The sequence below is a fragment of the Homo sapiens genome, chromosome 17 (assembly GCF_000001405.40).
Source record: "Homo sapiens chromosome 17, GRCh38.p14 Primary Assembly".
NCBI lineage: Eukaryota > Metazoa > Chordata > Mammalia > Primates > Hominidae > Homo > Homo sapiens.
In genome coordinates, this window is record NC_000017.11 from 19,167,092 (window position 1) to 19,180,427 (window position 13,336).

General features: G+C 51.6%; 1 pseudogene, besides 2 other annotated features; it reads right to left on the minus strand.

Annotated features, from left to right (window-relative positions):
• Positions 587–2,139, minus strand: KYNUP1 (kynureninase pseudogene 1; annotated as a pseudogene).
• Positions 8,661–9,162: an enhancer, noted in NCBI's record as "H3K4me1 hESC enhancer chr17:19079065-19079566 (GRCh37/hg19 assembly coordinates)". NCBI's record gives its function as "activates a minimal SCP1, AML or CMV promoter by ChIP-STARR-seq in primed H9 embryonic stem cells {active_cell/tissue: H9 hESC(primed)}" and the evidence as "EXISTENCE:reporter gene assay evidence [ECO:0000049][PMID:30033119]".
• Positions 9,163–9,662: an enhancer, noted in NCBI's record as "H3K4me1 hESC enhancer chr17:19079567-19080066 (GRCh37/hg19 assembly coordinates)". NCBI's record gives its function as "activates a minimal SCP1, AML or CMV promoter by ChIP-STARR-seq in primed H9 embryonic stem cells {active_cell/tissue: H9 hESC(primed)}" and the evidence as "EXISTENCE:reporter gene assay evidence [ECO:0000049][PMID:30033119]".

The window sequence follows — 13,336 nt, forward strand, 5'->3', positions numbered from 1 at the left end:
CCACCATGCCTGGCTAATTAAAAATACTTTTTTTTGTTTGTTTTTTTGTAGAAACAGGGTCTCACTATGTTGTCCATGCTGTTCTCAAACTCCTAGGCTCAAGTGATCCTCTGGCTTCGGCCTCCCAAAGTGGTGAGATTACAGGTGTGAGCCACCACACCCAGCCCAGATTGATAAATTTATAAACATCATGGAAAGAATGATAGAAAGGAACTGGAGCCACTTGAATGACATTTGGATTCCACTTGTCATAAACCACTCCTCTTTTTTCTACCTCTTGGAAAACATCTTTCTTTGGAACAGAAAAATGTTAGTGTCAGCTGGCAGCCCTGATCCTCCATATGGGATGGAGTAATGGTCACCTCCAGGTCACCATTGGCTTCTTAGATTCTGCTTTATTTTTGCCATAGCAGTGCTAGATCAGGTATTCCAGATAACCAGTCAGCAAAATAGATTTTCTCCACAATGCTTTAATCGCTGCCTGCCTAAAGATCTCTAAACTGTAAGAAACAGACCAACAAAATGGGAGGATTTGAAATTTGGAATCCACTAACCCCAGGGATTAACTGCAGTTGGTTATCCATCTCAAATCTGGTGCTGAGTTCACAGCCAAACCACCCCAGCAGCACAGCTTTAATCATACGGGCATGCTTTTCATGGAAAAAGTACCTGCCAGACCTCCTGCTCCTGCATTCAAATTATTGTGGGAACACCAGTGGGCAAAGTCAACTCTTCTGTCACGTAAGTGAGTTCAGCATTTCCAACTGTACATGCTAGATCAAGCCAGCAAAACATCCCTTCACTTGTCCAGCTTTCGTGGTAGCAGGTATATTAAAGAGCTGCCTAGTATAAAAATGCAGCCCACTGAACAGGATTGCTGTAATTGAGCCTCCTCCCTTCTCAATTGCTTCAGGGATATCCTTTATTTTATTTTATTTATTTATTTATTTTTCTCAGATGGAGTCCTGCTGTGTCACCCAGGCTGGAGTGCAGTGACGCTATCTTGACTCACTGCAACCTCCACCTCCTGGGTTCAAGTGATTCTCCTGTCTCAGCCTCCTGGGTAGCTGGGATTACAGGCATGCATCACCACACCCAGCTAATTTTTCTTTTTTTTTTTTTTTTGAGACGAAATCTCTCTCTTGTCCCCCAGGCTGGAGTGCAATGGCACGATCTCAGCTCACTGCAACCTCCACCTCCCGGGTTCAAGCGATTCTCTTGCCTCAGCCTCCAGAGTAGCTGGGATTACAGGCGCCTGCCACGACGCCCACGCCCAGCTAATTTTTGTACTTTTAGTAGAGACGGGGTTTCACCGTGTTGGCCAGGCTGGTCTCAAACTCCTGACCTCTGGTGATCCACCGGCCTCGGCCTCTCAAAGTGCTGGGATTACAGGCATGAGCCACCGCGCCCGGCCAATATCCTTTATTCTTAAGGTTTCCTCCCCCGTCTTGGCTTTATAATCCCCTTTCCTCAATGTTAACTCCATGGAGTCGTAGCTGTGACTCAACAGTATAATGATTAAAAGAGAAAGCTTTGGCTTCTATAAGAATTTTATACCATTTGGTATAGGCTTAAACAATAACTGGACTAAGGCTGGGCGCGGTGGCTCACACCTGTAATCCAAGGAGTTCGAGACCAGCCTGTGCAACATGGCAAGACCCCATCTCTACAAAAAAATACAAAAATTAGTCTGGCGTGGTGGTGTGTGCCTGTAGTCCCAGCTACCTGGGAGGTTAAGATGGGAGGATCACCTGAGCCCGGGAAGTTGAGGCTGCAGTGAGCTGTGATTGTGCCACTGCACTCCAGCCTGGACAACAGAGTGAGACCCTGGGTAACAGTAGAAGATGTAGATTAACAGTCAGCGCATTCACTAGGGCTATTTCTTTCTCGTAGGCTCCTATAGTCCTTCTGTAGGCCTACAATACTCTCATCTCTGTATCCCAAGGATGCTGCCTTCTTCGTGACCATAGGCTCCCATTTTGCCCCACTCAACTAGCTCTTCTTCAAGATCTGTTTTAACCATTTTTGGTTGAAGGCCAAGAGGATTTTCCAGGAAATAGATAGCATTTTCATCCTTATTCACTAAAGATAAATCAACTGGAGGCAGATCCTGCATTTTGGGGACATAAAAATACTCCCCAGCTGGGCACGGTGGCTCACGCCTGTAATCTGAGCACTTTAGGAGGCCGAGATGGAAGGACCACTTGAGGCCAGGAGTTTGAGAGCAGCCTGGGCAACAAAGCAAGACCCCCTCTCTGGAAAAAAATTAAAAAATTAGCCGGCATAGTGGTGCAAGCCTGTGATCCCAGCTACTGAGGAGGCTGAGGTGGGAGAATCCCTTGAGCCCAAGAGTTCCAGGCTGCAGTGAATCAAGACCGCACAACTGCAGTCAGCCTGGGTGACGGAGTGAGGCCCTGTCTCAAAAAAATTAAAAACAAACAAACAAAAAAACCTCCCTGAAGTGCCTTAGCTTATGTTCCTGAACTAGGTGGAAACTGTCCCTGTCATCTGCTTGGCGGCATTTGAGTTCAACCATCATGCTCTGCACTGTGACAGCTGACAAATTGTTCTCGGCTAGAATTCTTATGTGATCCTCAGCTCCCAGAACCCCTCAAGAAACTTCTCAAGCATTCTTTACAAAGGTATAGGCAAGACCACCTCAAACGACAGTGCCTCCACTCAGGGCTCCTTCCCCTAATCAGACTCAGGTAAACAAACACTTTCTTCCATGTACTTGCTTTTAACTTCATTAATTCACTTCCCCATCTGTAAATTCATTTCCTCATTCATTCATTTATTCATTATTCACTCGATAAGTCTTTTCTTTTCTTTTCTTTTCTTTTTTTTTTTGAGACAGAGTCTCGCCCTGTCGCCCAGGCTGGAGTGCAGTGGTGCAATCTCGGCTCACTGCAAGCTCCACCTCCTGGGGTCACGCCATTCTCCTGCCTCAGCCTCCCGAGCAGCTGGGACTACAGGCACCCGTCACCACACCTGGCTAATTTTTTTGTATTTTTAATACAGACGGGGTTTCACTGTGTTAGCCAGGATGGTCTCGATCTCCTGACCTCGTGATCCACCCACCTTGGCTTCCCGACGTGCTGGGATTACAGGCGTGAGCCACCGTGCCCAGCCAAGTCCTTTCTTTTCTTTTCTTTTTTTTTTAGAGATGGAGTCATGCTCTGTCGCCCAGGCTGGAATGCAGTGGCGCAATCTCGGCTCATTGCAACCTCCACCTCCTGGGTTCGAGCCATTCTCCTGCCTCAGCCTCCCGAGTAGCTGGGACTGCAGGCGGATGCCACCATGCCTGGCTAATTTCTTTTGTATTTTAGTAGAGACGGGAGTTTCACCATGTTGCCCAAACTGGTCTCAAACTCCTCAGCTCAGGCAATCCGCCCACCTTGGTGGATTACAGGCTTCAGCCACTGCGCCCAGCCTCAATACATCTTTTCTTTTCTTTCTTTCTTTCTTTTTTTTTTTTTTTTTCTGAGACAGAGTCTCGCTCTGTCGCCAGGCTGGAGTGCAGTGGCAGAATCTCAGCTCACTGCAAGCTCCGCCTCCCGGGTTCAAGTGATTCTCCTGCCTCAGCCTCCCAAGTAGCTGGGACTACAGGCGCCCGCCACCACGCCCAGCTAATTTTTTTGCATTTTTTTAGTAGAGACAGGGTTTCACCATGTTGGCCAGGATGGTCTCAATCTCTTGACTTCATGATCCACCCACCTCGGCCTCCCAAAGTGCTGGGATTACAGGCGTGAGCCACCACGCCCGGCCTCTATAAGTCTTTTCTAAGCACAACATAGGTTGATGCCAGCAGATACGGGATGAACTAATGAGTGACAGAGGCAATCTGCTGTAAGAAATTCTAACAGCCAGGAAGGCTTCAAGTTGGGGTGATACTGGAGCAGGGTCTGGAAGGAGGAAAGTTGGGGAAAATGCTGGGATCCCACAGCAATGTGAAGAGGGCCCCAGTGGGAGGTCGCCAGCCCATGGGACGCAGCCCGTAGGACCTTAATGCTCCCCAGCATATGAGTAGTGCATGTTCTTCCTCTCTTTGCCATGCCTGTCAGGAAGCTCAGAGCTCAGCTTGGTGCAAAGGTAGCAACTGTTGTTTGCCAGAGGTTTTGTAGTTATCTCTGTTTTGTCGCCCAAAATCTTTGACCTTTACATTGTCTATGTCTCTTATGGAAAACTTGAAATTGATGGAGTAAAATTAATAATAATAATAAAGACCTGATTCTCAGTAAGTGATGGATTCAGGACGTAAATGCAGCTCAGAGTCCAAGAGTTGTAGACTGACACCAGGCTTGTATTAGCTATCACTGCAATAATGCCACATAACAAACCACCCCAAAACTCAGTGGTTTAGAACAATCATTTAATTCCCCCTGATGCATCTGCAGGTTAGCTGAAGGTCAGTTGGTCTTGGCTGGGTGGCTCTGCCTCAGGCTAGGCTGGGATACAGGCTCTAGGCTGGGCTCTGGCTGTTCCATGTGTCTCTTGGCGGGGCGAGGCTGAAGGGCCGGCAGCCATTCAGGGGGACAATCTTCTCACAGCAGAAGCCAAGAAGACAGCTCCACTGTGGAAGTGCACCTCAAGCCTTTGGTCTTGTTATAGCCACTGCTATCCCATTGACCAAAGCAAGTTACATGGCTGAGCCCAGAGTCAAGAGACAGGGAGTGCACTCTGCCCACCTAGAGGCCGTGGCCAGCGTGAGGGGCCAATGATCAATGCCACATGCCATTTGCATCATCCAGTCTGGTCTCCACCCCTATTTCTCAGATGGGTACCCCAGGTGGATCAGTGTGGGACCAGGCAGGGTGCCCTGACTTCCCATTCCCTTTTCACAGCCCCGAGCAGGATCTCATATCACCTGGCTGATCCTCCTGGGGTGGGACCAATTCTGGAAACTGCAGTTGCAGGTGGAAGAACCTGGACTTCGGAATCACAAAGACCTGAGTTCTCTGCTCCCCAAGGCCAGCAGTGAGTCCCTGAGCAAGTCCCACCTACAAAGGAGGAAACTGAGGCTCAGAGGGGTTTGGCGACACATAGTAAGTGCTCCATCAAAAGTGGCCATTCAGGCTGGGCATGGTGGGTCATGCCTATAATTCCGGCACTTTGGGAGGCCGAGGTGGGTGGATCACTTGAGCTTAGGAGTTCAAGACCATGGTAACATGGTGAAATCCCCCCTCTACAAAATAAAAAACTAGCCAGGCATGGTAGTGTGGACGTGTAGTCCCAGCTACTCAGGAGGCTGAAGTGGGAGGATCACTTGAGCCCAGGAGATCAAGGCTGCAATGAGCTATGACAGCACCACTGCCCTCAAGCCTGGGCGACAGAGTGAGACCCTGTCTCAAAAAACAAACAGCCAGGAGCCGTGGCTCAGGCCTGTAATCCTAGCACTTTGGGAGGCTGAAGTGGGTGGATCACTCAAGGTCAGGAGTTTGAAACCAGCCTGGCCAACATGGTGAAACCCTGTCTCTACTAAAAAAAATACAAAAAAATTAGCTGGGCGTGGCTTCCGTGGGTTCCCTATCCCATGGAGAACCCACGGGACCAAGCAGGCAACTGCTTTCGTGTATTGCTTCATTGAATCCTCACAACCACCTTGCCTTATAAAAGAGGTGTTGCTATTATCCCCGTTCCACAGAAGGGGAAACTGAGGCACAAAGCAGAAAGGTCACGTGCCTGGAATCACACACCAGAAAGTGGCACAGCTGGGATTTTAACCCATGCCTGCCATGCTAGGACCAGCATCCTAGCAGCCAGGCACCATCCCCCAGCCCAGGCTGACTGCCCGTGCCCAGCTGGACTCCAGGGCTTGGCAGTCCCCAGGATGAAAAGAGGCCCCTCCCTGGGCCCTTCAAGTCACTCTGCCTGGGGGTGACACATGCAGCCACATAGGTCTCCGTGAGTTGCGGTAAGGTCTTGGGTCTCTTTATCCCTGGCATGCGGCGGGGGCACCAAAGTGACCTCAGGGATGCGGAAGTACAGGAGCCAGATTGCCAGCTGTGTGGCTCTGGCAAGTCACCTCCCCTCCCTGAGTCTGTTTCCTCAACTATAAAAAGGGATCAGTAAATGTCTCTTACTCATGGGATTGTGGGGGATTAAATTATTTGATAAATAAATGAATCATTTAGGAAAGTTCCTGGAATATAGAAACACAAGAAGAGGCAGAGGAGGAGGGGGGACAATATTACTATTGATAATATTATCCTGGGAAGCTTTTGCTGCCAGAAGCAGGAGGGACAATTTGCTGGGAAGGAAGACCCTAGGAACCAGTCCTTCCTGTGGACCTGGGACCCAGCACATTGCAGGTAGTTGGAAGGGGCCTCAGACCATCTCTGGAAACTCCATTCTATAGATGATGAGACTGAGGCCTGGGAGAGGCAGCCCCTGGGTCCAGGCTGCTCAGCAGAGCAGGCAGGCTGCCTGGCCCCACCTGGCCCCCTGCCCTCCTTCCATCCAGTCAGTCCCCATCCACCAGTCCCAATCCACCCAGTATCCATCTACCCAGTTCCCATCCACCCAGTCCCCATCCACCAATCCCCATCCACCCAGTCCCCATCCACAAATCCCCATCCACCCAGTCCCCATCTACCAATCCCCATCCACCCAGTCCCCACCCACCCAGTCCCCATCTACCCAGTCCCCATCCACCCAGTCCCCATCCACCAATCCCCATCCACCCAGTCCCCATCCACCCAGTCCCCATCCACCAATCCCCATCCACCCAGTCCCCACCCACCCAGTCCCCATCCACCAATCCCCATCCACCAATCCCCATCCACCCAGTCCCCATCCACCAATCCCTACCCACCCAGTCCCCATCCACCCAGTACCCATCCACCAATCCCCACCCACCCAGTCCCCATCCACCCAGTCCCCATCCACCCAGTACCCATCCACCAATCCCCACCCACCCAGTCCCCATCCACCCAGTACCCATCCACTCAGTCCCCATCCACCCAGTATCCATCTACCCAGTCCCCATGCACTCAGTCCCCATCCACCCACTATCCATCCACCCACTCCCCATCCACCCAGTCCCCATCCACTCAGTACCCATTCACCCAGTCCCCATCCACCCGTTTCCCATGCACCCTCACCCAACCCTGGTCTCCAGTCTCTCAGATTGAGGTCACCTCAGCTTCTCTGCACTGCAGTGGCCAGTGCAGGCAGTGCCCCCAGCCCCCCAGCTTGACCTCTGACCTTCCAGGACTCCAGGTTCCCACTCCAGCAGGTTAACAGTGCCAGTAATTCTGCTATCATTGCGCCTCCATGGGGTGCGGGGAGCAGGCTGTGTGGGCCCTTGGAAGCTCCCTAGGAAAGGATGAACCCCACAGTCCAGGGTCCTCTGCACAACGCTCAGAGCAGGATGGAGGAACATTGGGGGAAGAAGGTGGGCAGGCCCCAGTGTAGGAGACACCAACATCCCCCACCCATATCCTGTTCTGAGGCCAGGAAGAGGCCTGACCTACCCCTCCTCCTCCAGTGAGCCTTTCTTGGCTGACCAGGAGGCAGCTCTGTACAAGGGCTCCAGCCCAGGGCTGTGAGCAAGGGAGACCATGGGCCAGCCCCACCCCTTCTGGGTCTCTTGTTCCCTTCATAACTGGAGGACAGATGGCAGCAGCACTCAGGAAAGGCTCAATGCTGATGCACCCGGGAAGTGCTGTGCTGCACGGGCCCAGTGGCTGGACAGGACTGTGGGAGCCCACCCAGCCCCTTCCTCCCTGTCTTAGTGTGTTTGGTGTTGCTCTAACAGAATACCTGAGACTAGGGCATTTACTTCTTTGTTTGTTTTTTAGACAGGGTCTTGTTCTGTCACCCAGGCTGGAGTGCAGTGGCCCCTTCAGCTCACTGCAGCCTCCACTTCTTGTGCTCAAGTGATCCTTCCACCTTAGCCTCCAGAGTAGCTGGGACTACAAGTGTATGCCACCACACCTGGCTAATTTTTTAAATTTTTGTAGAGATCGCATCTCACTATGTTGCCCAGGCTGGTCTCGAACTTCCTGGCCTCAAGCAATCCTCTCACCTTGGCCTCCCAAAATGCTGGGATACCATGCCTGGGCATAATTAAATTTCGGCAGGAGCACCTCCTTTACGCCTCAATCTGTGCCTCACCAAGGCCAGCGCTGCACGACTCCAGGGGGCCATGCATGTGTCCTGGCCGACCATCCTCCCCTGACCAAGATGCATTCTGAAAAGATCCGGGGGCCGGCTCTGGGCCTTCACACATGCTGTTCTCTCCACCTGGAACACACTTCGCTTTCTCAAACGCCACCTCCCATTTATTTTTCAGCATACAGTTAAAAAATAAACTCCTGGGAAACCTGCCTTTATCCAGCTGGTAAAGTTCTCCTGTAGGTTCCCACAGCACCCGCTGCCTCAGTCTCCTCCCCATCCTGTCGCCCCACCGCCCCACCGCCCCACCGCCCCACTGCCCCACCACCCCACAACCCGCCGCTCTCTCTGTCTCCCCAGGCTCAGCCCTACTGGTGCCTCCTTGCGCCCGGACACGTGTAGACAGCGCCCTCTGCTGGCGACTCTCAGCTAGCCGCTCAGCCTCGCCCGCCTGGGTCCCAGCTCTGCCCCAGGCTCAGGTCCGGGGCCCTGGAGGTCCAAATGAGGCCAGAATCCCGGGAAGAGTCACCCGGAGAGGAGCCTCGGTCTCGGAGCCACAGACCCTGCTCAAATCCCTCTCCTGCCTTCTAATTTTCATGTGGCCTCGAGCAAATCATCTTCCTTCCTTGAGATTCAGTTTCCCCTTCCGCAAAATGTATCCTCCACAACTCTTCCCTGAGTACTTACCGTGTGCTAGATACTGAGTTGGGCACCGGCGATACCGCAGGGACAACGATGAGCAAAGTCACTGCCTCAGGAAGCTGACATAGAGGGGACGGGCAATAAACAATAAACACAACGCGGAATGTCAGTTGTCTATCTAGCACAGGGTGAGTGCTTAAAGAAGTGAAGCCGGACCGGGCGCGGTGGCTCACGCCTGTAATCCCAGCACTTTGGGAGGTCGAGGCGGGCGGATCACCTGAGGTCAGGAGTTTGAGACCAGCCTGACCAACACTGAGAAACCCCGTCTCTACCAAAAATAAAAAATGAGTCAGGTATGGTGGGGCATGTCTGCAATCCCAGCTACTCGGGAGGCTGAGGCAGGAGAGTCACTTGCACCTGGGAGGCAGAGGTTGCAGTGAGCTGAGATCACACCATTGCACTCCAGCCTGGGCAACAAGAGCAAAACTCAGTCTAAAAAAAAAAAAAAGCCGGGCGTGGTGGCTCACGTCTGTCATCCCAGCACTTTGGGAGGCTGAGGCGGGCAGATCACCTGAGGTCAGGAGTTGGAGACCAGCCAGGCCAACACGGTGAAACCCTGTCTCTACTAAAAATACAGAAATTAGCCGGGCATGGTGGTGGGCGCCTGTAGTCCCAGCTACTTGGAAGGCTGAGGCAGGAGAATCGCTTGAACCTGAGAGGCAGAGGTTGCAGTGAGTCGAGATCGGGCCACTGCACTCCAGCCTGGGCGACAGAGCAAGACTTCATCTCAAAAAAAAAAAAAAAAAAAAAAAAAAGGGAAGTGGAGCTGGAGGGGCCAGTGTGTATCCGAGGATGCGAGGGGAGGCCTCATGGGGAGGTGGGAACATCGATGCCCCCGCAGCACGCTGTCATAGCCATGCAAATGGCACGAACGCCCAGCATCCTCCCTCATGTGCTCTCCTTGGGCCACCTCCCAGCTCTCCATCCTACTTACTGTGTTTATCGTCTGCCTGCCCAGGAGAAAGTCGGCCTGTAAGTGCGGGGATTTTTGTCTGTCTACTTCCATGGGTAGCCCCAGCACTGAGAACAGTGCCTTGCACACAGTAGGTGCCCATTGGGTGCTGGTTTATCGATTTTTGCGCTAACCATGGGGCAGGACGGTGCCTCTCACTCAGCCGCCCACTCCTCATGGTGCCTCTCACTCAGCCGCCTGCTCCTCTATCAACTCTTCCAGAGCCAGCACTTGTGATCAAATAGGGGACAGCTGGGAGGCCATAGGAACCTGGAGGAGCCTGACGGACTCTGGGGTGAGTGCTGAGAGGCTTCCTGGAGGAGGCAGTGCATGCTGATGTGAGACTTGAAAAGTGGGAATGACAAGGAGGAAGGGTGTTCAAGGCAGAAGTAACAGCAATGAAAGCTGTGAGGCATGGAGATTCTTCAAGTGATTCAAGGTAGCTGGAGAAGAGAGGGCAGGTGGCAGGGATGACCAGGTCAGAGAAAGACTTGAGGACCAGGCCAAGGGGCTTGGATTTCATTCTGGGGGTTGGAGAGGCACTGTGGCCTAATATGTGAACACATGGGCCCTGAGTGGTGTCCACCTGCTACTCAGGAGGCTGAGGTGAGAGGATCACTTGAGCCCAGGAGTTCGAGGTTGAAGTGAGCCATGATTGTACCACTGCACTCCAGCCTGGGTAACAGAGTGACACCCTGTCTTAAAAATAAAATGAATAGGCCAGGTGCGGTGGCTCACGCCTATAATCCCAGCACTTTGGGAGGCCAAGGCGGGCGGATCACAAGGTCAGGAGATCGAGACCATCCTGGCTAACACAGTGAAATCCCATCTCTACTAAAAATACAAAAAAATTAGCTGGGCATGGTGGCGGGCGCCTGTAGTCCCAGCTACTCGGGAGGCTGAGGCAGGAGAATGGCGTGAACCTGGGAGGCGGAGCTTGCAGTGAGCCGAGATTGCACCGCTGCACTCCAGCCTGGGCGACTAAGCAAGACTCCATCTCAAATAAATAAATAAATAAATAAGTACATTAATTGACGTTTCAAAATTCATTCTATTTTTCTTTTTAATAACACTTTATCTATTTATAGAACAATTTTACATTTTATTAAGCCCCACTTTCTAGGTGTGAATTCTGCTGCTGTTGCTTGCTGGCAATGAGATGTTAAGTTGCTTAGGCTCTCTATGCCTTGGTTTCCCTGTGTGGAAAATGGACTTAAAGATATTTCAGACGGTTGTTGGTAAGAAGTGAGTTAGTACATCTGAAACATGTATCATATCCAGTAGGGGCTTAATTAATGTTAGCTGTGATTATTACATTCCTGTTTATTTTCCTCTACAGTAAGAGGCAATGCGAGTGAATAACTGGAATAACGGCCATCATTAAACTTAGCGTTTACCCGGCTCTTCCTGTCTTGGTTTGAGTTCTCAAATAGGCCGGGCGCGGTGGCTCACGCCTGTAATCCCAGTACTTTGGAAGGCCGAAGCGGATGGATCATGAGGTCAGGAGATCCAGACCGTCCTGGCCAACATAGTGAAAACCTATTTCTACTAAAAAATACAAAAAATTAGCCAGGCGTGGTGGCACACGCCTGTAGTCCCAACTACTCGGGAGGCTGAGGCAGGAGAATTGCTTGAACCCAGGGGGTGGAGGTTGCAGTGAGTCAAGATTGCACCACTACACTCCAGCCTGGGCGACAGGACGAGACTCCGTCTCAAAAAAAAGACCCTGAGACAAGAATTTCGGTACTGGGAGTTTCTTTGGGAGGTAACCCTAGGAGGCACCAGCAGGCATGTGGAGAAGTGAGATCAAGGGGTGAAAGCCAAGAAGGAGCAGGTCACTGCTGCAGGCAGCAGAGGCTCAGTGCTCTTGGGCGAGCACAGCTCGGAAGTGTCCCAACAAGGGCTGGAGAGGGTGGCACTTGTCCTCACTGTTCTTTTGCCCTTCGCCCGGGCTGAGCATTCTCTTGAAGCCAGAGAAAGTCCGCAGGGTTGTTGAATATATCAAATAAAAATACAGGACTCCCAGTTAAATTAGAAAACAATGAATGAATTTTTTTTTTTTTTTTTTGGTATGAGAATGTCCCACGTTATTTGGGGCATACTTACACTAAATAATTTGTCAGGCCAGGCACAGTGGCTCACGCCTGTTATCCTAGCACTTTGGGAGGCTGAGATGGGCAGATCACAAGGTCAGGGGTTCGAGACCAGCCTGGCCAATATGGTGAAACCCCGTCTCTACTAAAAGTATAAAAATTAGCCAGGAGTGGTGGCGCTTGCCTGTAGTCCCAGCTACTTGGGAGGCTCAGGCAGGAGACTTGCTTGAGCCCGGGAGGCGGAGGTAGCAGTGAGCCAAGATCGTGCCACTGCACTCCAGCCAGGGTGACAGAGCCAGACTCCGTCTCAAAAAAATAAAAATAAAAATAATAGTGATAATAATTTTTCACTATTTTTTCAAAACTCAATTTTAACTGGGAATCCTGTTTTTGTTTCTTTGTTTGTTTTGAGACAGAGTCTCGCTGTGTCGCCCAGGCTGGAGTGCAGTGGCGCGATCTCAGTTCACTGAAAGCTCTACCTCCCGGGTTCACACCATTTTTCTGCTTCAGCCTCCCGAGTAGCTGGGACTACAGGCGCCCGCCACCACGCCCGGCTAATTTTTTGTATTTTTAGTAGAGATGGGGTTTCACCGTGTTAGCCAGGATGGTCTCGATCTCCTGACCTCGTGATCCGCCCACCTCGGCCTCCCAAAGTGCTGGGATTACAGGCGTGAGCCACTGCGCCCGGTCATCCTGTGTTTTCGTGATGTGATGCCATAGGCATGGATAGGAAGTATGTGGCTGGCAGTTGCTGCTGGCTGCCAGCTAGAAGCTTAGCTGGAGCTGTTAGCCCAGGGCCTCAGTTCTCCGCATGGGTCTTTCTGTGTTGCTTCTTGGGCTTCCTCACAACGTGGTGGCTCATTTCCAGAAGGAGCATCCCAAATGATAACAATCAGAAGCTGCTAGTCCTCTTGAGGTCTTAACTTGGAAGTCCCAGAACATCGCTTCTGGTGCATTCTAGTGGGGGTGCATTCTAGGGGTGAAAACAGCCACAAGGCCAGGCCAGATGCAAGGGGAGGGGAAATAGGCTTCACCTTTGGATGTGGGGGTGGCGGAGGGCACAGGGCAGGGAGAAGTTCTTGGTGGCCGCCTCAGTAGACAATCAACTACAGTGGGAAGGCAATTTCCTTCTTCATTCACTTTCAGTCTGCTGATTATGCCCAGGTAAAATCTCTGCACAGTGTTAGGGCTTTACGTATTTTGCACACAGTTTTTCCAATTATGGGGTGTGACTGCTTAGTGAGCTATAAAGTTAGTATACTGAATCCAAATTAGTTTTTTTAAAACTTCTTTTTAAGGCCGGGTGCGGTGGCTCACGCCTGTAATCCCAGCACTTTGGGAGGCCGAGGCGGGCGGATCACGAGGTCAGGAGATCAAGACCATCCTGGCTAACACGGTGAAACCCCGTCGCTACTAAAAACACAAAAAATTAGTGGGGCGTGGTCGTGGGCGCCTGTAGTCCCAGCTATTC